Source organism: Homo sapiens, chromosome 14, assembly GCF_000001405.40.
Source record: "Homo sapiens chromosome 14, GRCh38.p14 Primary Assembly".
Lineage (NCBI taxonomy): Eukaryota > Metazoa > Chordata > Mammalia > Primates > Hominidae > Homo > Homo sapiens.
The window spans coordinates 59,484,445-59,507,483 of record NC_000014.9 but is presented as its reverse complement, the minus strand read 5'-3'; the positions used below and the strand labels follow the sequence as shown (position 1 = coordinate 59,507,483).

Genomic DNA, 23,039 nt, shown 5'->3' with positions numbered 1-23,039 from the left:
GGATCACTGCACTAGCTTCATTAACATTGGGCACTTTGGAGCCTGACACTGGAGCAGATGTTACAGTGACAAAGTTGAATAAACTCCAGGCCCTGAACCTTAAAGTGCATACCCTGTGAGAAACAAGACAATTGAAGAGCTGATGAAAATACATTGGATTCCTTCTAGAAAGTGGCTATCAGAGGGTAAAGCTGTGTCTTATTGGATGTTGGAGTACACAGGGATATCTTCCCAAAGGAGAAGCACAGACATAAGCTGGTCAAGAACTGCCAAGTAGCAAGGCTGAGTGGAGATCTGCTGGGGGAACCAACCAGCAAGTGTGGAATAGGCTTGTCAGAACATTAAAGGCCAGACTTCTTCCTGAAAACTAATTACTAAAAACTTACTTTTTGCCTTAATTTTATTTCTTGTAAATCAAAGGTAAATAAGTTAATTCTTAGTGTATATGTAAGCTAAACAGTAACTTAGTACAGTTATTTTTAAAGTAAAAAGAATTTTGTCTTAAAATTACAAAAGTCCTTGAGTATTACATCATATATTATGTTAGGTTACATAAATAATTTGTGTATTAACCAAATATATTGATACATGGGCTATGGAAGACATTTTTAGGATGAGGTACTTTAAAAGAAACATTAAAAAAATCAATGTATATAACTGTCAAAGTTATCTCTGTTATTGTGATGAGGGGCTTGATACAATCATCTACATTTTGATTAAGTCTAGAAAAACACCTCCTTATAATTAAAGCAGAATCAAAATTTCAGTGAGAAGAAAGAAAATCATTTGCCTAGTACTTGTCTCTTGGAAAAATTAAGATCTGAAATAGGAGGAGTTTAGATCAGTGGTTCTCAAACATTAGAATCACCTGGAGATTTTAAAAAACCCCTGTGCTCAGCTGGGTGTGGTGGCCCATGCCTCTAATCCCAGTACTTTGGGAGGCTGAGGTGAGCAGATCACTTGAGGTCAGGAGTGCAAGACCAGCCTGACCAACAGGGTGAAACCCCATTTCTACTACAAATACAAAAATTAGCTGGGTGTCATGGCGGGCACCTATAATCCCAGCTGCTTGGGAGGCTGAGGCATGAGAATCACTTGAACCCAGGAGGTGGAGGTTGCAGTGAGCCGAGATCGCATCACTGCACTTTCAGCCTGGGTGACAGAGCGAGACACTGTCTCAAAAAAAAAAAAAGAAAAAAAAAAAAAAATCCCTGTGCTCAAACACAGACCAATTCAACATGAATCTCTGGGTGTGGGGCCCAGGCATTATTTTTTTAAATCTCTCCAGATGGCTTCAATGTGCAATAGTCTCGCAAACTAATAGTTTTAGACAAATATATAACAAGGTAGTTATTAAATTTATCAACTAACTGACCCAAATTAATCAAGAAAACACAGATTTAGTATCCCTGGTCTGAAAATCCAAAAATCCAAAGTGCTCCAAAACTCAAAGCTTTTTCAGCACCAATATGACGCTCAAAGAAAATCCTCTTTGAGAATTTAAGATTTCAGATTTTAGGATTACGGATACTGAACTGTAAGTATAATGCAAATATTCCAAAATCTGAAAATACCCGAAATTCGAAACACTTCTGGTCTCAAGCATTTTTGAATATGAGATATTCAACCTGTATTTTGACTTTTAAATTACCTCTTCAGGACTGGTTAGCAAAAGTACCATACACTGTAGTGATAAGGATTGTGATGTGCTACAAGGGCCTAAGTCAAAACTTAACAAAGACAAGGGTTGATTTTTAAATTTCTTATGACCACGTTTTAACAAATTATTTAGTAAAATTAGCAACTACAGTGGCTATAAGTTGTTCTAGTCTTATTTTTACCAAAGCAAATTAAAAATGCAGATACATATTAAGTATTGTGGAAATTATTTGCCCGTGAGGCCTTGTAATTGTAATTTCTTCTTTTGCATATATACTTTTCTGCTAGAACAGGACATATGAAAAAAATGATTGTAAAAATGGCCCCAAGTGGACCAGAAGATATAGTCCTAGTAATCAGACACATGACACCCCTCCCTACTCTACCCCGATTATACAATTACTCAATTGAGGATTCTTTGGGCAACTCAGAATTTTAATGAACACTAATAACCCCCCAAATGTGTGCAATACAAATAAAATTTTTATATTTATTTTTTATTCCTACAGAGAAGAAGAAACACATTCGTACAAGGGTTCATTTCCCAGTGGTTAAATGTACTGAGAAAAATACATTAACAAAGTAACTCAAGGATACAACTGCTGTGAATTCAAAAGACAGACTACTACAGGAAAAGTGAGTGCACTTACTTTCATATTTTGCAGCTGTTAATAGAAGTCTTAAACATTTAAAATTTAACTAATTCACACAACCTCCACCAAGTATCAGTAAATAAACTTCTAAACAATAAAAATGGATAAACATGGTCAGGTTGTTAGGTTAAGAGCTAAAAATTTCATTTTGCTTCCATGGTTGCAACCATGAGTCTTAAGGCCTTCAAAGCATAAACATCACAGAACACCTATCACAAACCACAAACCAACCACAGGAAAACCCTTTTTATTCTGTGTATCTTCTGTATTTCATTAAATCTAATAAGCCATCAGTTGTAAGATGCATCCTAATTCAGAGATGTCACAAAGTGAAATAAGTATCTCTGGATCAATAAAATATGGTATGTATATATACCCGAGATATGAGAGGAAACTATTTACCAGTTTGAATTACTTCCATACTATTGTGCCAAACAACAATTAAGTGTCAAAACATTGAAATTTTATGTAGGTAAGCTTTTTATTATTGTTTTCTTTACAGGAACAATAATCCAAACAAATCTTGAACCAATCTATAAACAGAAAACCTGTTATATAAATTATTATCTATTTTTGCAATACATCAAAATACTGTATTGATGAAAATAAATAGATAACAAAAAACAATATACATCATTTCTATGTTTGCTATCAGACCCCACAAGTATGTTTGTTTTTACAATTCATTATAGGTGAAAAACAAACTGAAACACAACAGGTAAGTACAATTACGCCACTGTTAAGGACTGCAGATTACACGTGTTAAAGCTTTTCTTAATAAAATGGGAACACATTGCTAGGTACACAGAAACATGATTTTGCCCTAAAGAACAGCTGAACTGTTGAGAGAAGCAAGGGCTTCCTAGCGGCCTTCCAGTGTAGCAGATAATATTACCCTGTGTAACAGAGTATTACAGAGTTTTGCATTTTCCAAGTCTGTAAGTCTAACCATAAACAAAACAAAGACAAACCCAAACATTAAGATATACTGACAATCTTGTTCCCATATATGATAGAATAGTTCTCATACACTGTTAAGATTGATTTACTTTTTTATTAGGAGCACTTCTCAGGTTTTTGGCATTTCACATGTCTACACTCAGTGTCCATTGGCTCCTTCTGAGAGTATCCTTGAAGGTTCGGTAAATTTTGCAGTGAACAAGTAAAAAAGGGCTGGTGTAGGTACCAAAGCCAAAAGGGGCAAATCTTGCTCAAGTTTATCCACTCTGGAAATGGAGATTATTCCATAGGCATGAAGTAACCAGTGGCTGAAGAGAACAATAAGTCTTTTCTTTCTGACCAGAAGATCATAGCAGTTCTATATAATTTTGTAAAAGAAAGAAAAGAGAAATACAGATTATCAGGCTAAGTCAGCTGGGTAATTTAATATAACTTAATATAAAATGTATTATTTATAATCTCAGAATCATAAAATGTTTGAGCTAAAAAAGACTTAAGAAATCACTCAGTCTAGCCACTCCACTTTATAGATGAGGAAAGTGAGGCTCCTAAGGTCATATAAGCACTCAGTAGAGGCACCCAGACGAAAGCTACGTCATCATGTCTCTTAAGTCCTAGTCTATGCCATCATTCACTCCTGGAAACACTATAGTTTCTTCTCAAAGATACGAACTAGAAGGGAAACTCCACTTTATGTGCTTGCTTCCTGCCCTGATCCACTGTTGCTATGGATCTACAGGTGGGAAATAGGAGGTACAGAAACCCAACCTCCTTAACCTCTAACATTCCTGGAGCCTGCTGCATGAATAGTAAGGGGGCAGAAATGACACATGAACACTCTGATTTTCTTTTAATCCTTAATACACCTGTATGCTATGCAGAAATTAGAAGAATGAAATACAAAATATCTAAATGTGCTAATAAACACATTAAAACGTAATTTGCAACAGGTTAGTTACTAACTTTCTCTTATTAAACAGCTCATCAACTCAACCAGTACTAAGCTGTCTTTTTCCGTTTTAGGTCCCCATTTCTGATTCATGCTAACTGAAGTATGTGAACATTTTATATAGGAGATTCACAGGGGCAGAGAAACAAATAAGTTCAAGCTAATTTAACAGTGTATAGCTAATTCTTAACTATGGATAAGCTGTAAAAATTCAAGGTCAGGCGTGGTGGCTCACCCCTGTAATCTCAGCACTGTGGGAGGCCGAGGTGGGTGGGTTATGAGGTCAGGAGTTTGAGACCAGCCTGATCAACATGGTGAAACCCCGTCTACTAAAAACACAAAAATTAGCCAGGTGTGGTGGCATGCACCTGTAATCCCAGCTACTCAGGAAGCTGAGGCAGGAGAATCACTTGAACCCGAGAGGTGGAAGTTGCAGTGAGCCAAGACTGCACCACTGCACTCATGCCTAAGCGACAGAGTGAGACTCCGAAAAAAAAAAAAAAAAAAAAAAATCTCATTTTATTCAAATATCCAAATATCCAACTATTTTCTCCCTCAAATCTTTCCCTAGAGTTGATAAAAGCGCCAAAACTAATTTTCCTATCTTCTTTAATTATATTTCAATGCTGGTTAAAGATGATTACAAAGGAAAAATGAGGATCATCTACAGATGAAAACAACTGAATAATCACTATAAAAATATTCTGTCTAGTTCCTCCACTATTATCTTACCTAAAAGTCACTATGATTCCTAGATGTTTTCCCCCACTCACTCTCTCACTAAGGTAATAGAAAAAGTGGCATCAGCAGTAACCACTCCAAAATAGTTTACAACTTATTTTCTCTTGGTTGAGTTTTCTCTGTTAGGAATTATGAGAAAGCACAGATCAACTGTCATGGGTAGTCTGAGACAGTTCATAGTCCCTAGATTAGCAAGTATAGGATGGAAGAGTACTGAGACACTTTATACTTCTGCTTCCTCTAGAGTTTGGCCTTAGAACAAAGAGTTCTTAAATCAGAGCCATTAACGTATTTAAAAGCAATCATTTAAATGTAATATGTATAACAGTTACTAATATATTAGTAACAATAATAAATATAATTATTTTAGAAAGAAAATGTCAGATTGCATATGAACAAATAATGTACAAGAATGCCCATTTTGATTCAAAGTTTAATGAATACATTTTTCCCTAGATATAGAGTCAAATACACTACTACTTCTCATTTGTTCTTCATGGTTTTAACCAATAGCTTAGTTCCTTTAGAATATTTGAAAATATAAACGTTATGATATGATGTTCTATTCTACCCAGTGACTACAAATGTGTCAAAAGATACTTTTTTGGCCAAAAATATTCTGAAAATAAAGACATACACAATTTTTTAAAAGGAGTTCTTTATAATAGTGGCCTTCCACTGAAATATTAAAATATTAGAGGTACAAAATGAATACTGTGAAAAAGTAACAGTATCAGAATAATGTGGCTATTAATGTTAGCTCCAAATCCCCCAAACATTATGGGGTAAAAGTAAACATCCATAATCAGGAAAATAAAATTTGTGATAAAACACAGAAGGATATGGAATGCACAATTACTGATGACTATTAATGTTGCCATTGTAAAATAAAGTTTAAAATTAGTTCTAAATATAAAACATTTTTATGGTTTTTCTCAAAATACTGTTAATAAGTTTCAACATTTCAATAATTATATGTTTGCTACATGGGAAAATTATGTGAAATGACATTTCTCCTTCATGCTGGATAGTTGGGCCTGACTACTTCACTATTTTGCTAATTTCCCAGGGAAATATATAGTCCAGTACACAACTTTTCATAAAGTTAACAAGCCAAAAGCTACCAAGTGGCATCAATCAGCCAAAGATTACTAAAACAATTAGTTGTACTATATCATATCATATGGACTATTCTGATATTGAATTGTCAAATTTATCAAAAAGTCTTTAACAAAGGAAAAAAAGACTTCCTACCTCTATTTCAGAAGCAGACATGTACACAGCCAGAGTAACCAAAGATAACACTAATATAATGTATGGGAAGGCGTAATCTGAAAGATAAGCATTGGTATTATGTTGGAAATGAAACAAATTTTCTCAATAAACCATCAAATAAATTCAAATAGTAATTTTCCTTAGAGTCAAATCCTTTCTCAACCAGTTCTGTGAGACTTACAACCTAAGGTTCTGAGGCAGTGGCCAGCAAGCTTTTTCTGGAAAGGGCAAGATAGTAAATAGTTTCAGCCCTGCATTTCTCTGTCTCGATTACCCAGCTCTGCAGTTGTAGTGGGAAAGCAGCCATAGAGAATACATACATGAATGGGCACGGCTGTGTTCCAATAAAAACTTTATGGACAATAAAACATACGTTTCATACTCACATCTAGAAATATAAGTCTTTTGATTTTTTAACCATAAAAAATTGTAAAAACTATCCTTGGGCCAGCTTTGAAGAACCTTGCCTTATTAAGGCATCCAGTGAATGTAAATAATTAACTTCTCTCCTCTGCATTCTAGAATAGTACCAGTTATGTACTAAATTTAGGAGAATTCAAAAAAATGGTCAAATAATTTTCTGTGTTTTGTGGTCAAGGTGGGGAACCGCAGTTGAAAAAGGTTATCTATAAGAGTAACTCAGCTTTAATTAATCTTTAGAAAAGGTCATTTAGCAATAAACCTTAAAGGATAAAGAGATCATTCAGTATTCTTAATATCAAAATTCCTGCAATCTCTACTTTAAATACAGTACAGTAATACTTTAAGCAAATTTTTTCCTCTAAAACACCACTTTTCTCTTAAAATGTTTCAAATTTATAACACACTAAAATAAATGGACAAATTGAGAAAAAAACTTTGAATTTTTTTCATACATTATTTGTAAATGACTTCAGTTTATGAAACTACTTATCATTGCAGTAGAACCCATTTGGAACAATTTCAAATGTTAACTCAGGATTCAGCAGCTAGAAACTGAATTATCTATACAGGCCTGATTCCAACTTACTAAAGAACTGAATGACTTATTTGACATTTATAACTTTTTATTTCATAGACAGTTATTAGGTCCTCAATCAACTTTTCAAAACAAAACAAAACAAAAACTCTACTTAACTTATAAGTAGCTAAACAATGTTGCTAATGATACAAATTTAAGACCTGGTAGTAAAAAGCCATATACAGTAAAAAGGAATAAAGAGGAAGTTTCTAACTAAGCCCAAATTAGTGCAAATCAGTGCAAATGTAATCATGTCACTCTTCTGCCTAAATCCTTTTAAGAACAGGTCCCTATTCCCTAGAGCAAGAATGGCAACCTCAAAAGACAGAGAGGGTAGCCAGGAAGGTATAAGGGAATGGGCCAAATCTAACAGGGAAATAGAGGAGCTAGAGGGAACTATAGATTTTCAAATCCTGTGCAGGCCAAATGAAACAGTTCATCTGTAAACCAGAATATGGCGGATAACAGAATTTCTGGTTCCCTTGGTCTTACCCTCAAGCCCCACCATCACCTTGAACCAAATTACATTCCCAAACTATATTACCAAATTACATTACCAAGCTCCATATAAAGGATGGTGTCCAACATCCTTGGGACGTTCAATGTCACATATTCAAAAGAACCACACTACATTTTCTCAGCCACTGGCTTGCCTACTTTATCTCCTGGTAGTAAGTGAGGTTTTTAACAGTGAATTTGTCTTATTCTTTTGAGTCACAGTTTGGTCTAAATGGTTACTAAACAAATGAATTAATGGTTACATTAAAATAAAAGATATATTGAGGACTTTTTACTATAAAAGGTTTTCATAAATACACTTAGAAACCTAAGACCCTACTTAATAATAAACAGTATACATTATCAAGACTAATTTTCATAAATTCCTAAATAAAAACCAGTTTTTATTTCTTATTACATACTTAGATTTTTAAAATATTTTAATTTCGTCATGAACTTCAAATGCAAAGAGAGGTGGGCAGATCATGAGGTCAGGAGATCGAGATCAATGTGGCCAACATGGTGAAACCCCGTCTCTACTAAAAAAAAATACAAAAATTAGCTGGGTGTGGTGGCACATGCCTGTAGTCCCAGCTACTTGGGAGGCTGAGGCAGGAGAATCAATTGAACCCAGGAGGCGGAGGTTGCAGTGAACCGAGATCATGCCACTGTACTCCAGCCTGGTGATAGAGTGAGATTCCATCACAAAAAAAAAAAAAAAAAAAAAAAAAAAGGATTAAACAAACTATCTTAAGGAAAAATCTCCAAAATTAAATCTAGAGGAAATATTACTACATACAATAATAAATATATTTCATTGACTTTACCCATCAAACTTACATAAAAGGCCTCCACCAACTGCCTGAAGCACGGTTAAAATTGGGAAGAAGTAAAGTGCAGCATAAATACTTTTAAATCGATCAGATTTCCCTAACCCACATGCAATCTTCTTCACCAGAAGAGGTCGGAGCAGCATCATTAATACCAAGCAGAATGCGTAATAGATAAATACAATGGTATATCTGTAAAATAAAATAAAGAATTTGTAACATCAAAAATGTTTTAAAAATGTTTTTAATCTTGATCATTTTTAAATGAAAGAGCCTAAAAGAGGTTTAAAAAGCATATTTACTCTATCCATTGGATATTCAGATTGGTGGAAAGCTGGCCAAACAGGCTGTCATACACGGCTAGCAAGGGTACAATGGTTGCTTTCTTAGGCAGTCTGGAAATATGTACCAAAAATCCTAAAACTGTTTATCCCTTTTGATTCAGCAATTTTACCTGTAGAAATTTATCCAAGGGAAACAACCAGGGATACATAAAAAAACCTACTGTACAAGGATTTTTATTGAATCACTTATAATAAAGCCCAGAAGAAAATAAATATTCAAATGTAAGAAACTGGTTATATTTTATAGTATATTCATGCTGCAATATTATGCAGACATAAAAATCTAGTTATGAAATAAATGTTAACAAAATTAACTGTGCCTAATACATTAAGTGCCAACAACTTACAAGATAGCATGTCATAGTATAGCCTTAATATTCCTTAAAATGCATACACATGCAGAAATAAAACTGGAAAGATAAAATTTGTAGCAGAATCATCTCAAGGAACAGAATTACAGATTATTTTATTCTGTGTGTGCTTTTATTCTGTTTTTGAATGTCCCATTTTTAATGTAATTTTTATAATCAGAAAAAAAAAGCTGTAGAAAGAGCTATGTGTCACCAGATTTCTAGCACTTTATTTTGAATAATGGGACTTTTATCCACATAGTTCTACCTTAATTTTCCTGAGTATTTTCAAATCATTTTTACTATCTTGCTACTCAAACCCTCTCCCTATACAGGGGAGTGTCCTAGGAAGTCAGCAGTCATTTCAGATCACGGACCACATGCTTCCTCCCCACACAGCATCATGATACCATAATCCTGTGTTCCTATGATGCTTTTAGGTTCAGTCCTGTACAGTAATGCATTAGTACATGTTTGATCTCTTGGGTGATAATTTTTTTGTCTTGTTATACCACCCCCAAACAACATCAAAAGAAAACAAAATCTATCCATTCCTGCAACTTGTAGTTCCTTAAGAGCTCTAAAAAAGATGATTTTAATCAAGAGGAAACCATTATGTGTTACCTCTTCTAATGAATTAGTTTCCTAGTCTTGTTTGCTACCTCTTATCAACAGCAAAAGAAAAAAAATCTGTCCATTTCCACAACTTGTAATTCCTTAAGAGCTCCAAAAAGATTCACTTTAATCAGGAGGAAACCATCCTGTGTTTCTCCAAATGAACTAGGAAACTAGTTTCTGGAAGTGATTACGTTTCCCACTCCTGCCTTCCACCAGAAGACCTCATCCCATTCCACTCTTCCCCTCTTTCAATCCATGCTGCCTACATGTGGGGATAGTTTAAATTTGACAAACTAAAGCTAATTCCTGCTATAAGAGTAATAACTGCTCATTTTCCATAACTCATTCTTAAAGTTTTAGTAATGTAAAAGTTATTTTTTTGCAGTAAGTTATAATGATAGAAGCTTACATGTTTTTTCATGCCTCATCTGTTTCCCCTTAAAACTATAATTATCAGTAAAGTCCTGTGGTATTTTTCAATTTGTAAGAAACTAGGCTATATATACATTGGGAAAAACAGCCTTCATTTGTCAATGCACTAGTGTTCCAAAGGTTTCTGGTAACTGTGTGCTATTGCTTTTTGTTGACTTGCAAAAAAAAAAAAAAAAAATTACTATGACTTGTGGTAGCCCTACAACCTTCGGAAGTGCTTAGCCCAGTCTGACCATACATTTATATTTAGAATGCTTAGGTAAATAAATAATATGCCTAAACCCAATGCTATAAGATACTATATAATATCTCATAATTTTAAAAATCACTGTTTTGTATAATAATAAAACAAGGCAGGCAAGCTGTTCTACAATGACTGTTGGTAAGGGTGCTGAGGAAGAAAAACAAACAATCTTGATTCAGGGATAGTGAATAGACAAAAAATGTCCTAATCAATGAAGCTGTGTGATGATTCTGATTGACAGAGAGTGCTGCCACAAGATTCTTAGGCTACACTCAAATCAGCAGAAAAAGTGCTACAATAAATTAGAAGTGACTATTACAGGTGCAGATGAGGGTTGGTAGTACCTGTTTGCCATTTCTCTTCTAATCTTATATTTTCTGACCCTCCTACTGTAATAGGCTTTATAAATATTACAATAAATAACATAAATGAGACTATCGCTAAATAAGTCTGATTTTGTTTTAAATAAGATTACATTATATCTTATTTAAATATAATATTCAATTCATTTATTAAGTTTTCCAAATAGGACCACGTTAAGTTATGCAAGGCCTTAGGAGAGTTATATGACAAGAGGGTAATTAATGCTTAGAGTTAAGCTCTACGAATCAATGAATCAACAAAAAGGACATTATCAGTGTTTTATATAGTATTTTATATATAAATTATAGCTATATATATATATCTATAAAATAATTTGCCATACCTAAGAACTGGCAGGGAGAGGCCGGGCACAGTGGCTCACGCCTGTAATCCCATCACTTTGGGAGGCCAAGGTGGGTAGATCACTTAAGGCCAGGAGTTCAAGACCAGCCTGGCCAACATGGCAAAACCCCGTCTCTCTACTAAAAATACAAAAATTAGCCAGGCATAGTGGCACATGCCTGTAATCCCAGCTACTTGGGAGGCTGAGGCACAAGAATCACTTGAACCCAGAAGGCAGAGGTTGCAGTGAGCTGAGATCTCGTGCCACTGCACTCCAGCCTGGGTGACAGAACGAGACTCTGTCTCAAAAACAAACAAAAAACTGGCAGGTAGAAAAGAAGATTTTCATTTTTTCTAAGATATCTGGTTGTTTTGTACCTATTTGCATTTCTATGTTTTTGATGTTTTATTATTAAGAACTTGCTCAAAAAGGACTAATTTCCCTGAGCATATTATGTACTGAAAGCCTGCTACAATTATGAGAATATAAATACCAGACTTCTATTTTCCCTTTCCCCCAAAAAATATCAAAATGAATTTGATTCATTTTCTAGTTCTAGAATTTACAAAAATTCATAAAAATTCTGAAACTGGAATAGTCTGGCATAATTGCATACAGAATTTTATGAATTTAATATTTTGAAAACAAAACATTCTAACAGAAATTACACTTATTTGGGGAGAAAAAAAGAAAAAACACTAATCCAAACACTGTAATAATGCCATTTACTATAAAGTGCCTCCTATATGTAAGTTATATGGTATCTAGAATGTGTGGATTAATTTAATCCTCACGACACCTTATAAGGATCATTATTCCCATTTTACCAAAGAGAAAACTGAAGTTACAAGAGGCTGTTTACATGTTCAAGGTAATAAAGCCGCTGGCAGACCCAGAACTCAAACCCACACCTGTTTTTGTCTCCAAACGCCATAAAATCTATAATAATCCTCAGAGATTTAAAAAAAAACAATGATCTTAAGTCGAAATAAACACTTACAGTGGGTAGACGGCTTCATGAGTACAGTGTACTGTGGTAACGTAATCTGGACTTGGGTTGTAAAGCATCGTGTACCAGTCAGAAAGCATCAATACTCGACATGAACGAATATAAAGAACACCAACTGGATCACTCACAAGTAAGGTGATAATAGCTGCCATGCTGCATTCAAATAATGCAGTGATGTGTTGGAAAAGTGCGCTGGAACTAGAGAAGGAAAAGAGGCATGATTACTAGAAAAATTGCAATATTTAAATGGCTTTAATAAAACATGTACATGTGTCAAGATACAGATTTCTAAATCTATAAGAAAAGTCAAAAACTACTCGAGTATAACCTTTTTTTCTCAAAAGGGATAAATAACACTGTAGCAGTATTATCTAAATGTGTAACAGAAAAGCAGAAATTATATCTACCCTGCATCTTTAGTATCTTGCCAAATTGTTGCTAAAAATTTCTTAGTTATCTGTGTATCATTTTAATCTTAATATGCACATAAAAGATGGTATGTAACGTGTTTGTTAGAAAGTATAGTAATTATAATATTATAAGCTCATCTCCTACCCAATAACTAGAACACTGTCAACAATTTGTAACTACATCTTTGTTCCTCCCCATCCATACCTCTGTCTCTCCCTTAGAGGCAACCATGTACCAAACTGCTTTTACCACTTTTTTCCAGAAAGTTTTTATCCCAACTGTATTTCTGCTTCACAACTATTCTGGTTAGTTTTGCTTATTTTTGAATGATATCACACTAATGGAAGTCTTCTGAGATTTTTTTTCTACTCAAAATTACATTTCCAAGTTTCATCCATGTTATTGCTTATAGCTGAGGTTCAGTCATTTTCGCTATTGTGTTAGGATTCCACTGTGTGACAATACTGTGATTTGTTTATCCATTCTGTGGTTAGTTAAATGTGTTGCAAATGTGTACCTGTTTGTGGGCTCAATTTTCACTTTCTTTGTGAAGCCTTTTTATAAACATGTTCTAAATTTTAATACACCAGGCTTTTATTTTTTTTTCTACTTAGCAGTTTAAATGTTTTAAAAAGTCCTTCCACACCCTGAGATGTGTGTGTATCTCACACACACACACACACCCAAATTTTCTTCTAAAAATTTTAAGGTTTTGCTTTTCACATTTATCTTTAATTCACCTAGAAGAGATTTCTGTGCCTAACGTAAGGTAGGATCTAACTTTACATTTTCCCATTTGAATTGCCAGTTGTCCCAGCAGCAGCATTTTACTGAACAGGTACTCCTTCCCACCCCTACCTTCCCAACTAATTTGCCATGGCACTTCTTTCATATAAAGTTTCATATATAATTGTCTGTGTTTTGGGTCTCTATTCTGTTTCTTGAGTCCATTTATCTATTCCTGAGCCAGAAGAATAATATGATCATAATCCTTGATGTCATGTACATTTTTTCTACTTCTTTGGTGGTCTTGGCTATTCCTGGCCCTTTGCTCTTCCATATAAATTTTAAAATTGGCTTGTCAAGTGCTCAGATAAATCCTATGTAACTTAATGGTCTGAGCTATGTCACAGTACTTGTACTGTACATGGAATATAGGAAATAGTTTCATATATTTATCTTATAGTCAACCTTTTTATTAAACTGTCTTGTTATTTCTAATATCTAGTCTATAGGTGATTTTGAGTTTTCTACTTGAACACTGTTTCCATTATGTATCATTGCATAGCAAACTACCTCAATACTTAGTGGCTTGAAACAAGAACCACTGATCATTTCTCACTATTTTGTGATGTGACTGGGCTCAACTGGGCAGTTCTTTCTGCTCCACATGGTGTCAATTTGGGAAGCACTGGTCTAGAGGCTTGACCATGCTGCAGCATTTAAAAGGACTAACTCACATGGCTGCAGTAAGTGCTGGCTGTTAGCTGGAAGCACAACCAAGGCTGTTAACAGGTGTGCCTTGGTTCTCTTCCATATGGCTTCTCTTTTGTTTTCAGTACTCTGCAGTTTAATTATGATGCATGCAGGTGTGAATTTCTGTTTATTCTGCTTGGGATGTGTTTTCCTTCTGGGATCTGTGAATCGGTTTCTCATTATTTTTGTAAAACCTGAAGCCAGTTATCTCTTAAAATACCAGCTCTCCTTGGCTGGGCGTGGTGGCTCACGCCTGTAATCCCAGCACTTTGGGAGGCCGGGGCGGGTGGATCACGAGGTCAGGAAATCAAGACCATCCTGGCTAACACAGTGAAACCCCGTCTCTACTAAAGATACAAAAAAATTGGCCGGGCGTGGTGGCAGGCGCCTGTAGTCCCAGCTACTCGGGAGGCTGAGGCAGGAGAATGACGTGAACCTGGGAGGCGAAGCTTGCAGTGAGCCGAGGTCGCACCACCGCACTCCAGCCTGGGCAACAGAGCAAGACTCGTCTCAAAAAAAAAAAAAAAAAAATAGCAGCTCTCCTTCATAGTCTCTATTTTTCCAGAGACCCTAATTAGATACTTTGGGCAAAGACTTAACAAAACATTTATGCTGTGCATGAGAATCTGGGCTTCAGGTAACTCTCTAGCTCTTTTCCTCTGGAAGCCTGATAAGGATAGAATGTCAACTATATTGCTAGGCAACACTGCTTATGATACAAATGATCCTTGCCTGGTAAATTATATCTCGACTGGGGAGAACCATAAATGAACTATAAATGCCTGATGGGGATACCATGGTTTGGCTTTCTTGAGTTCAGTGACTCTTATAATTGGCATGTCACTTGCAGGACCCCAGAAGTTCATGGAATTGTTATAAGAGAGACTGGCTTCTGTGAGGTGTAAGACTTTAAGCCTGGACCACTCCCACACCTACCCAACATGGATCTCACCTTCTTGCACCTGATTTTCCATCTCCTTCTTTCTCAGTGCAATATTCCATTATTTCTATGCATTTTTTTCTAGTTCACTAATTCTATCTTCAACTGTTTAATCTGCTGACTACCTTTTTTTTTATTTTGGCAAGTATAAACTTTCATTTCTAAAAGTTTCCTTTTCTTCCCCATCACATGTATTTATTCCTAATAATCTTATTGTTATGGACAGCTTGTGACTACATCCTTACTTTCTTTATAGGTAGCAGTTACATATCCTGTAGGTGAAAGTCCATTATCTGTGTCCTCTCAGAGCATAAATATATTGTTTGTTGCATGTACCAATAAGTCCTAGTGCTATTTTATTTAGTAACCACAGACTATGAGGCCATTACTAGATTTTAATGAGCAAGAGTCTTACAGGGTTAAATTGAGAATGGGGAAGCTTTCCAGCAAAGAGGCTCTGCTACTTTTGTCAGCAGCCATGGCCACTACTACCTTAGGCTTCAGGCCCTTGAGGGTCTAGTCTTAGCAGAGGCTACCCAAGATTCAGTATCCAGATAACACTGCTGCTACCAGCAATTGACCTCAGACAACCCTCTCATCCCAACTGCCTGCCTTGTCACTCTGGCCTAACTCAGGGTGGGCTGGTTTGTGTTTTGAAAGAGAAGAGTTCCTGGAGATCTCTCCATCTCCAGCTGGGACCAGCAATGTCTCACATAGTTTATCTTTCCCAGACTTTAGTTATTTCATGCAGGTGGGTCACTTGGAGCTCCTAATTAACTCACATTGTTGGAAACAGAACTCCTGTGCCATTTTACAAAGATGAAAACACTGAAAACATAAACACACATTCACATTACATAATTTGACATTTTGCTTCCTTATAGAATTAATATTTTCAGAGGCAAAATCCCAACTTCATTATTTCTTGCCATTACTTTGATAACCTTCTTAACTGGTCTTCTTGTCATGTTCTCTTTCAACCTATCTACAGCCAGACACATAATCTTTACAAAATGAAATACAATTTTAGAACTCCTCTCATTAAACTAATTTTGAGTCTTTTTGTCTTTCTGGAAAAATACCCCCACCAGCATCGTCTTCTCTATTTCCTGGCCATGCTAAATGACTTTAAGTTCACTTGTGCCTCCACACATCTGGGCATGCATCACCCTCCACCTCAAACACATTTTACCTATCTGCCAAACCATGCATCCTTCCAGATCAGCTCAGGGGTTATCCCCAGTTTTTATGAACATTTGTTAAGACACCTCCAGCCCCCATCTATCTGGACTGTAAGTGCAAAATTTCAGGAAACTGTAAGAGATGGCCCTTGTGGTCCTTGTTACCAATTTCCTAGGCAAAGCACAGTTGTACAACTCCCTCTTTTTAAACCCACCTCCTTTCCTGTCTGAGCATTAGTCACTCCTCGCCTTCCCTCAAACCACCCTCTAGTCTCTGCTTCAAGTCTCTCCCTCAAAACATAGCTGACGTCTGAATTCAAACGCATTTGGTGAAGACATACCTATGCCTGTTAGCTCTTCTTTACTGTGGGCTGAGAACTTCCCACCAATTGACTGGACAATTATTCTATTTCAGCTTTGTCATATCTCCTTTCTCACCCCATCTCTCATCATTCTATTAATATAACAGAAATTAAAAACTGGATGAAAGCTGCTATTTTTAAAGTATTTTTATAAATTATTCTAAAAAATTATAAATGCTTTCCCAATGTAAATAACCACCCTGGATTTATTAGGTAGGCCCCAGAAAACTGCTGATTCTATTTCTATCTGACCATCCTTTCCATTTCCATTCCAACTACCATAGTCTATTTCTTTGACAACAGTCTTCTATTAAATATCTCACCTCTAATCTACCTACCCTCCACAGAAATTTTCTTCCTAAAATATACATCAAATGATGCCACTTCCATACACCAGACCTTCACCAATAAACGATTCACTCAAATACGGAGTGATTTTTTTGGATGCTCATTCCCTCCAAATCTCATGTTGAAATGTAATCCTCAGTGAGGTGGGGCCTAGTGGGAAGTATTTGGGTCATGGGAGTGGAAGCCTCATGAATGACTTGGAGCTGTGCTCACAGTAATGAGTGAGTTCTCACTCTGTGAGTTCATGTGAGATTTGGTTGTTTAAAAGATCCTGGTGGCTGGGCATGGTGGCTCACATCTATAATCCCAGCACTTTGGGAGGCTGAGGCAGGAGGACTGCTTGCGCCCAGGAGATCGAGACCAGCCTGGGCAACATAGAGAGACCCTGTCTCTACAAAATATAAAAAATTAGCAGGGTATGGTGGTACACGCCTGTAGTCCCAGCTACTTGGAAGGCTGAGATGGGAAGATCACTTGAGCCTAGGAAGTCAAGGTTGCAGTAACCAGTGATCACACCACTGCAATACAGCCTAGGTGACAAACCAGGACATTGTCTCGAAAAATAAAAACGAAAAGATAAATTAAAAAATAAAACATTAAAAAAAATGAAAGAAAGAGGTACCTCCTCCCCCTATCACCATGTGGTTCCCCTTTGCCTCCTGCCTCCTCTCACACTGGTTCCCCTTTGCCTTCTGCCATGATTGTAAGCTTCCTCAAGCCATCACCAGAAGCAGATGCCAGTACTATGCTTCATGTACAGCCTGCAAAACCATGGGCCAATTAAACCTCTTTTCTTTATAAATTACCCAGTCTCAGGTATTCCTTTATAGTAATGGAAATGGACTAACAGAAAACTGAAACTGAAGGGTAGGGCAGTGCTATAAAGATACCCAGCTTTGGAGCTGGGTACCAGACAGAGGCTGAAAGTGTTTGGAGGTCTCAGAAGAAGACAGGAAGGTGAGGGAAAGCGTGGAACATCTTAGAGCCTTAAGTGGCTGTGACCAAAATGCTGACAGAAATGTAGACAGTGAAGGCCAGGCTGATGAGGTCTCACATGGAATTAAGGAAGTTATCAGGAACTGTAGTAAAGGTCATCCATACTATGCCCTAGCAAAGAACTCTGCTGCATTGTGTCCATGTCCTAGGCATCTGTGGAAGTTGGAACTTAAGAGTGATGACTTAGGGTATCTAGTGGAAGAAATCATTAAGCAACAAAACATCCAAGATGTGCTGTGGCTGCTTCTAACAGCCTATGATCAGATAGATGTGGGAGCAAAGGAATGACTTAAAAATTGGGACTTATACTTAAAAAGGAAAGCGGAGTCTAAAAGTTTGGAAAATGTGCAGCCTGGCCATGTGGTAGAGAAGAAAAGCATTTTCAGGAGAGGAATTCAACCAGGCTGTACAGCAACTTGCTAGAGAGGTTAGCATGGCTAAAAGAGAGCCAAGTGCTAATAGCCAACACAATGAGAAAAAGGCTTGAAGGCATTTCAGAAGTCTTTCAGACTGCCTGTCCGACCACAGGCCCAGAGGCCTAGAAGGAAAGAATAGAAAGTAGGCTGTCTTCCTTATTTTTCTCTTTTAATTGGGCACTCTTTGTTTTGTTGTTGTTGTTTTGTTTTTAGTACTCAACTTTCTGAGTGACTTTTAAACTGAAATCAGAAGGAAAAGAAGGTAGCTAGGTAACAAGTTGCAGTCAGATGAAGAGAGTATTTCAGACAGCAGAAAGAGTTTGCAGGAAGGGAAAGAACCTAAAGTAGGAAAGATCCTGAGAAGTTGGAGGAACTAAAAGAAAATCAGTAAGGCAGAATTTGACTTCCCATTCCCAGCAGATTAAAGTTCACATGCTTATCAAGAACCTTCACATTCTGGCCTCAACCTATCTTTCCTACTCCCCTTTATATTACTTTTCTTCATTTGCAACCCACTCTTGACTACCCCAGATTACTTCCATTCCTGCCTACCACAGATCACATATTTCATACCTCTATGCCATTATTCATGCTGTTTCTTCTGCCTAAAATGTTCCTTTTTTGAAATCTTTCAGATCCCATGAGGCATAATTTATCTCTCTGTTCTTTGTAACTCCAGAGTACTTTGTTTATAACTCTTCCACTACATTTCTAAGACTGATTTATAATTATGTACACACTTGTTTTCTCCACAAGATTATGACTATAAGCCATGTCAGTTATTTTTATATCTCCTTCCCTGATCTTCCAAACATAAAATGCAGTGCTTAGTAAATGTGTGCTGATTTAATATGTTAATATGAGTTTTTGTATTAGGTTACAGCTATATCATTTTTAACTACATCATACTAGATTATTAGTATTAAATTAAATTACAAAGAATGTGTTCCATAACAATAAATAGCTTGTAATCATAACCAATTTTGTGTAGAAAACCAATAAGGATTATAGTTGAGAAGTAAAAGTATTCCTTCAAGATCACTGAGAGTAAAACAGACTAAGGACAGTTCCCTTAAAAATTACTAAGTCATGCCCTATTGTTAAGTTTTCTTGTCACAGTTAAGAATAATCTGAAGATAAAGAAAAACATGTTTACCACTTTTAAAACAGAAGAAGCATAATTACTTAATAAGGTCTTCTGAGTGATAATTATTCCAACATTAGTCCAGCCAGATATGTTCATAGAAATGTGCTAACCTCTTTTTCCCCGAGTACCATTCAATGAAGAACCAATGTAAAACCAGAGGAAGCATTGCCATAAATCCAAGATAGAGCCAATCATAAAGTTCAGGAGATTCTGTGCAAGGCTGACAATATTTCTGTGCATTCGTTCTCTGTCCTCTTGGGCATACCTATAATATATAAAACCAATATTTTGTGTACAGATATTATTTTACAACATTAACACCCCCCCAAATCATTCTATAAGACATCCCATTTCAGTTTAAATATTTAAGTTTACATGTGCAGCTTTTAGAAATAAAAAAGAGGGCATAAGTAAAATAAAAAGAAATCTATATTGTATGTGCTATATTTGTACAATGCTCTTAGAAGATTCCTTTTACTAAGTTACTAAAATAGTTGACTAACATTCAATGAAAAACCTAGTTATTAACATTATATAAGAATAACTGCAGATAAATGTTCTGGATTCATGATGTTCAACTTACTGTACAAGACACGGTACCAAATCATAAATTAGAAATTATTATAAAATTATTAAATGTTTTAAAAAATAATATAGACATCAAAATGCCAACATGAACAATGACTATATTAATGCCTCCATATTCTTTTATATTTCCTTATTTTATTTTTTTTTTGAGACAGAGTCTCCCTCTGTTGCCCACGCTGGAATGCAGTGGTGCAATCTTGGCTCACTGCAACCTCCACCTCCTAGGTTCAAGCAATTCTCCTGTCTCAGCCTCCCGAGTAGCTGGGACTACAGGCGCACACAACTATGCCCAGCTAATTTTTTTCTATTTTTAGCAGAGATGGGGTTTCACCATATTGGTCAGGCTGGTCTCGAACTCCTGACCTCAAGTGATCTACCCACCTAGGCTTCCCAAAGTGCTGGGATTACAGGCATGAGCCACTGCGCCTGGTCCTCCATATTCTTTTATAAATTAATGAGTATAATAACAAAAAATGTTGTATGTGAAAATATTTCAAAAGCAAATAGATTTTACAAAATGAAATAAGATACAAACATAAGACTTACCCCACATTCTCCATATATTTCAGTTGAGCCATTTTTAAATAATAGGGTCTTCCCACAATAAAGTCCAAGGCATGCTGGTTGAATATCGACAGCTTTTTAAAAACAAATGCCAGTATAGTAACATCTTTTGTGATTATAAAAAATAATTGCAATAATAGCTGAAGCATTTGGCAAAAATAACAGTTTCAAATTTTTGAATAATATGTATTAGACAAAAGTCTTGAAGCATTTTTAAATTTACATTTCTCCTTTTACACTGTGACACTGCAGACAGTTATCCTGGAACCTTGCTGTTAATACCGTGCCTTATGATTAAGGTCCTCAACCAGCAGAGCAGGATCTATCTCCAGGACTCAAAGCCTAACCCGGTATGATTAGAGGATACTTCTGAGTTTAACTGATTATAAAGTTCAAATATACATATATTTTTAAATTAGAGCACCAGTAGAGGGTCACCACCTTGTATTTTGCCCAGTCAGGACATTAAGCACCCACATGTAGACACACAATTATCATTATCACCTATGTTCATAACAGAACACATTTTCACATGGGAAAAGCAGAGAGAACATAATTTCATAACAGAGGTATGCAAATTACCTTTATAAAAAGTTTCCTACATTGTCCTAGCTTTTATCATTTTTGTGGAGGATAAGTGAAAATTTCATCAAGGCTGTCACTGGGCCAATATTTTAGAAACCACTGCATTAAAATTAAGCCCCTGATCTAAAGGCTTAGGGGAAAAGCAGCTATTCCTTACTTAAAAAAACCCCAACAACTAAGAACCTAATACGTTGTCTTTGACCTTATTCACAAGAAATTATGGAAGTTTTCTTCATCAGTGACATCTGATTCCCTTCATTCATTCATTGATTAAAACAAACAAACAGGCTCGGTGAGGTGGCTCACGCCTGTAATCCCAGCACTTTGGGAGGTCGAGGTGGGCAGATCATGAGGTCAGGAGTTCCAGACCAGCCTGGCCAAAATGGTGAAACCCCGTCTCTACTAAAAATACAAAAATTAGCCTGACGTGGTGGCGCGCGCCTGTAGTCCCAGCTACTGGGGAGGCTGAGGCAGGAGAATCGCTTGAACCCAGGAGGCAGAGGTTGCAGTGAGCCGAGATCGCGCCACTGCACTCCAGCCTGGGCTACAGAAGGAGACTCCGTCTCAAAACAAACTGCGGTCTACATGTGAATTAATTTGAAAAATTATGCATCTTTTGACTATTCTTGAACAATCATTTCCCAAATTATTCACGAATTCACAATCTAGACTGCCTGGTCTACAGTGCCTTCTCTCCTTTCACATTCAAGCAGACTTTTTACTTCCTTCTCCTTATGCTGCTGAGAGAAAAAGAGAAACAGCATTGAATAATATTCCTCCAGTTTAATATTTTCGCTTTTAACAAATTTCGGACTTAGCTTTTTAAACCCACTGGCCTCTTTAATGGGCGCTTATTTTTTTTGTAACCAATTGTAATCACAATGTTCTAAATTAATACATGAAAATGAATATTTCAGGTTTTTCAAGAATGCAGAAGGTAAGGAATTGGAAACTTCTGTATGGGCTTTACATCTAGTAGATGCTTAATAAATACACGTGAATATCAATAATCTAAAGTTTCTCAAAATCCAAGGCCTGAAAACCAGTATGATAAACTGAACTGAAATAAACAGCCTATCACTTACTAAGCAAAACCCAGGCTCCAAGCGACTGTTGAATTTCTCCTTTCATTTCCTTTAGCGAACGATGGCTAAAGTTTTAAGATTCCATTTTTTTGCAGCGGTCCTGCCCTTTGTGACGGGCGCTATAAATCTACGTTTGAGGTTGAAGCAGTAGACAAATTATGCAGCAACTTGCTTCTGCTTTACTGTTTTTTCTGCACTATCACCCGCGTTTTCAATTCCGAAGTCAACCCTCAAGCAAGTGTTCCCTCGACATTAAACTAAGGGACTGAAGAGACATTTCGGACCAAACAACAAAGACCTGGCATTTCGCCGCAGACAGCGCGCCTCCCCTAGTAGCCCGTTGCGGACAGACCACCCCAACCCCGCAGGAGTGCGGAGCCCGGCCCGAGGGCGGGCGGGGTCAAGGGGCGAGCCTGCGCCGCCAACCGAAGGCCGCCTACAAAGAGCCGAGCCCGAGGCCAGCCGTGTAGGAAAGTAGTCGGGACTACCAGAAACGCTTCCCGGGATCTTGGCGACCACTCACCCATGGGCCGCCTGAAGGTTTTTTTCGAGAAGCACTAGATCAGCGGATCTGGCAGCTGCACCGAACATCCGGGCCACAGCGAGCTCGGCGGCTCCGCCTCCCGGTAACCCGGGCGACAGCTCCGAAGTTCCTCCCTCGCTTCCGGGTTT

The 23,039-nt window shown here is 36.8% G+C and overlaps 3 protein-coding genes and 1 long non-coding RNA gene across 16 annotated transcripts in view, besides 1 other annotated feature; 2 read left to right on the top strand and 2 right to left on the bottom strand.

Annotated features, from left to right (window-relative positions):
• Window positions 1-2,417, top strand: part of CCDC175 (coiled-coil domain containing 175) — a 71,746-nt gene extending 69,329 nt beyond the window's left edge. For all 6 annotated transcript variants that reach the window (XM_011537124.4, XM_011537122.4, NM_001164399.2 and 3 more), the window contains one exon: window positions 2,169-2,417. In XM_011537124.4, the coding sequence (XP_011535426.1) occupies window positions 2,169-2,245 (77 nt within the window). In that variant the 3' untranslated portion in view covers window positions 2,246-2,417. The remainder of the gene's footprint in view (window positions 1-2,168) is intronic.
• JKAMP (JNK1/MAPK8 associated membrane protein) lies at window positions 2,074-22,967 on the bottom strand. Of its 8 annotated transcripts, none has more exons than XM_024449627.2 (8): window positions 22,891-22,967; window positions 22,368-22,494; window positions 20,680-20,771; window positions 19,656-19,810; window positions 12,260-12,466; window positions 8,576-8,757; window positions 6,217-6,293; window positions 2,074-3,630 (listed from the first exon to the last, which is right to left on the bottom strand). In XM_024449627.2, exons 2-8 carry the CDS (start codon window positions 22,411-22,413, stop codon window positions 3,412-3,414), a joined length of 978 nt encoding a protein of 325 aa, XP_024305395.1. In that variant the 5' UTR covers window positions 22,414-22,494; window positions 22,891-22,967; the 3' UTR covers window positions 2,074-3,411. The 8 variants fall into 8 exon arrangements, with proteins under 8 accessions (XP_024305395.1, NP_001271131.1, NP_001271130.1 ...); NM_001284202.2 differs by having other exon boundaries at window positions 20,680-20,753; NM_001284201.2 differs by having other exon boundaries at window positions 22,368-22,967.
• The window catches only part of L3HYPDH (trans-L-3-hydroxyproline dehydratase), a 39,796-nt gene continuing 18,967 nt past the window's right edge, over window positions 2,211-23,039 (top strand). The window contains exon 1 of the mRNA XM_024449462.2: window positions 2,211-2,295. The gene's annotated coding sequence lies outside the window, so the exon portion shown is untranslated. The remainder of the gene's footprint in view (window positions 2,296-23,039) is intronic.
• LOC124903326 (uncharacterized) lies at window positions 15,433-19,649 on the bottom strand. The gene is made up of 2 exons (XR_007064196.1): window positions 16,618-19,649; window positions 15,433-15,923 (listed from the first exon to the last, which is right to left on the bottom strand). It is a non-coding gene; the product is annotated as an uncharacterized LOC124903326 (long non-coding RNA).
• Window positions 22,722-23,001: an enhancer, noted in NCBI's record as "active region_8461". NCBI's record gives its function as "activates an Ori minimal core promoter by ATAC-STARR-seq in GM12878 lymphoblastoid cells {active_cell/tissue: GM12878}" and the evidence as "EXISTENCE:reporter gene assay evidence [ECO:0000049][PMID:35858748]".

Excerpts from the sequence above, each read along its gene's own strand:
- JKAMP (NM_001284201.2), bottom strand. The coding sequence starts at position 22,413 with ATGAAAGGAGAAATTCAACAGTCGCTTGGAGCCTGGGTTTTGCTTA. Across the intron at positions 20,772-22,367 it reads TGGAGCCTGGGTTTTGCTTA|CTGTCGATATTCAACCAGCA; the intron begins GTAAGTGATAGG and ends GTTTTTAAAAAG. Across the intron at positions 3,631-6,216 it reads TGTCTGCTTCTGAAATAGAG|AACTGCTATGATCTTCTGGT; the intron begins GTAGGAAGTCTT and ends AAAATTATATAG.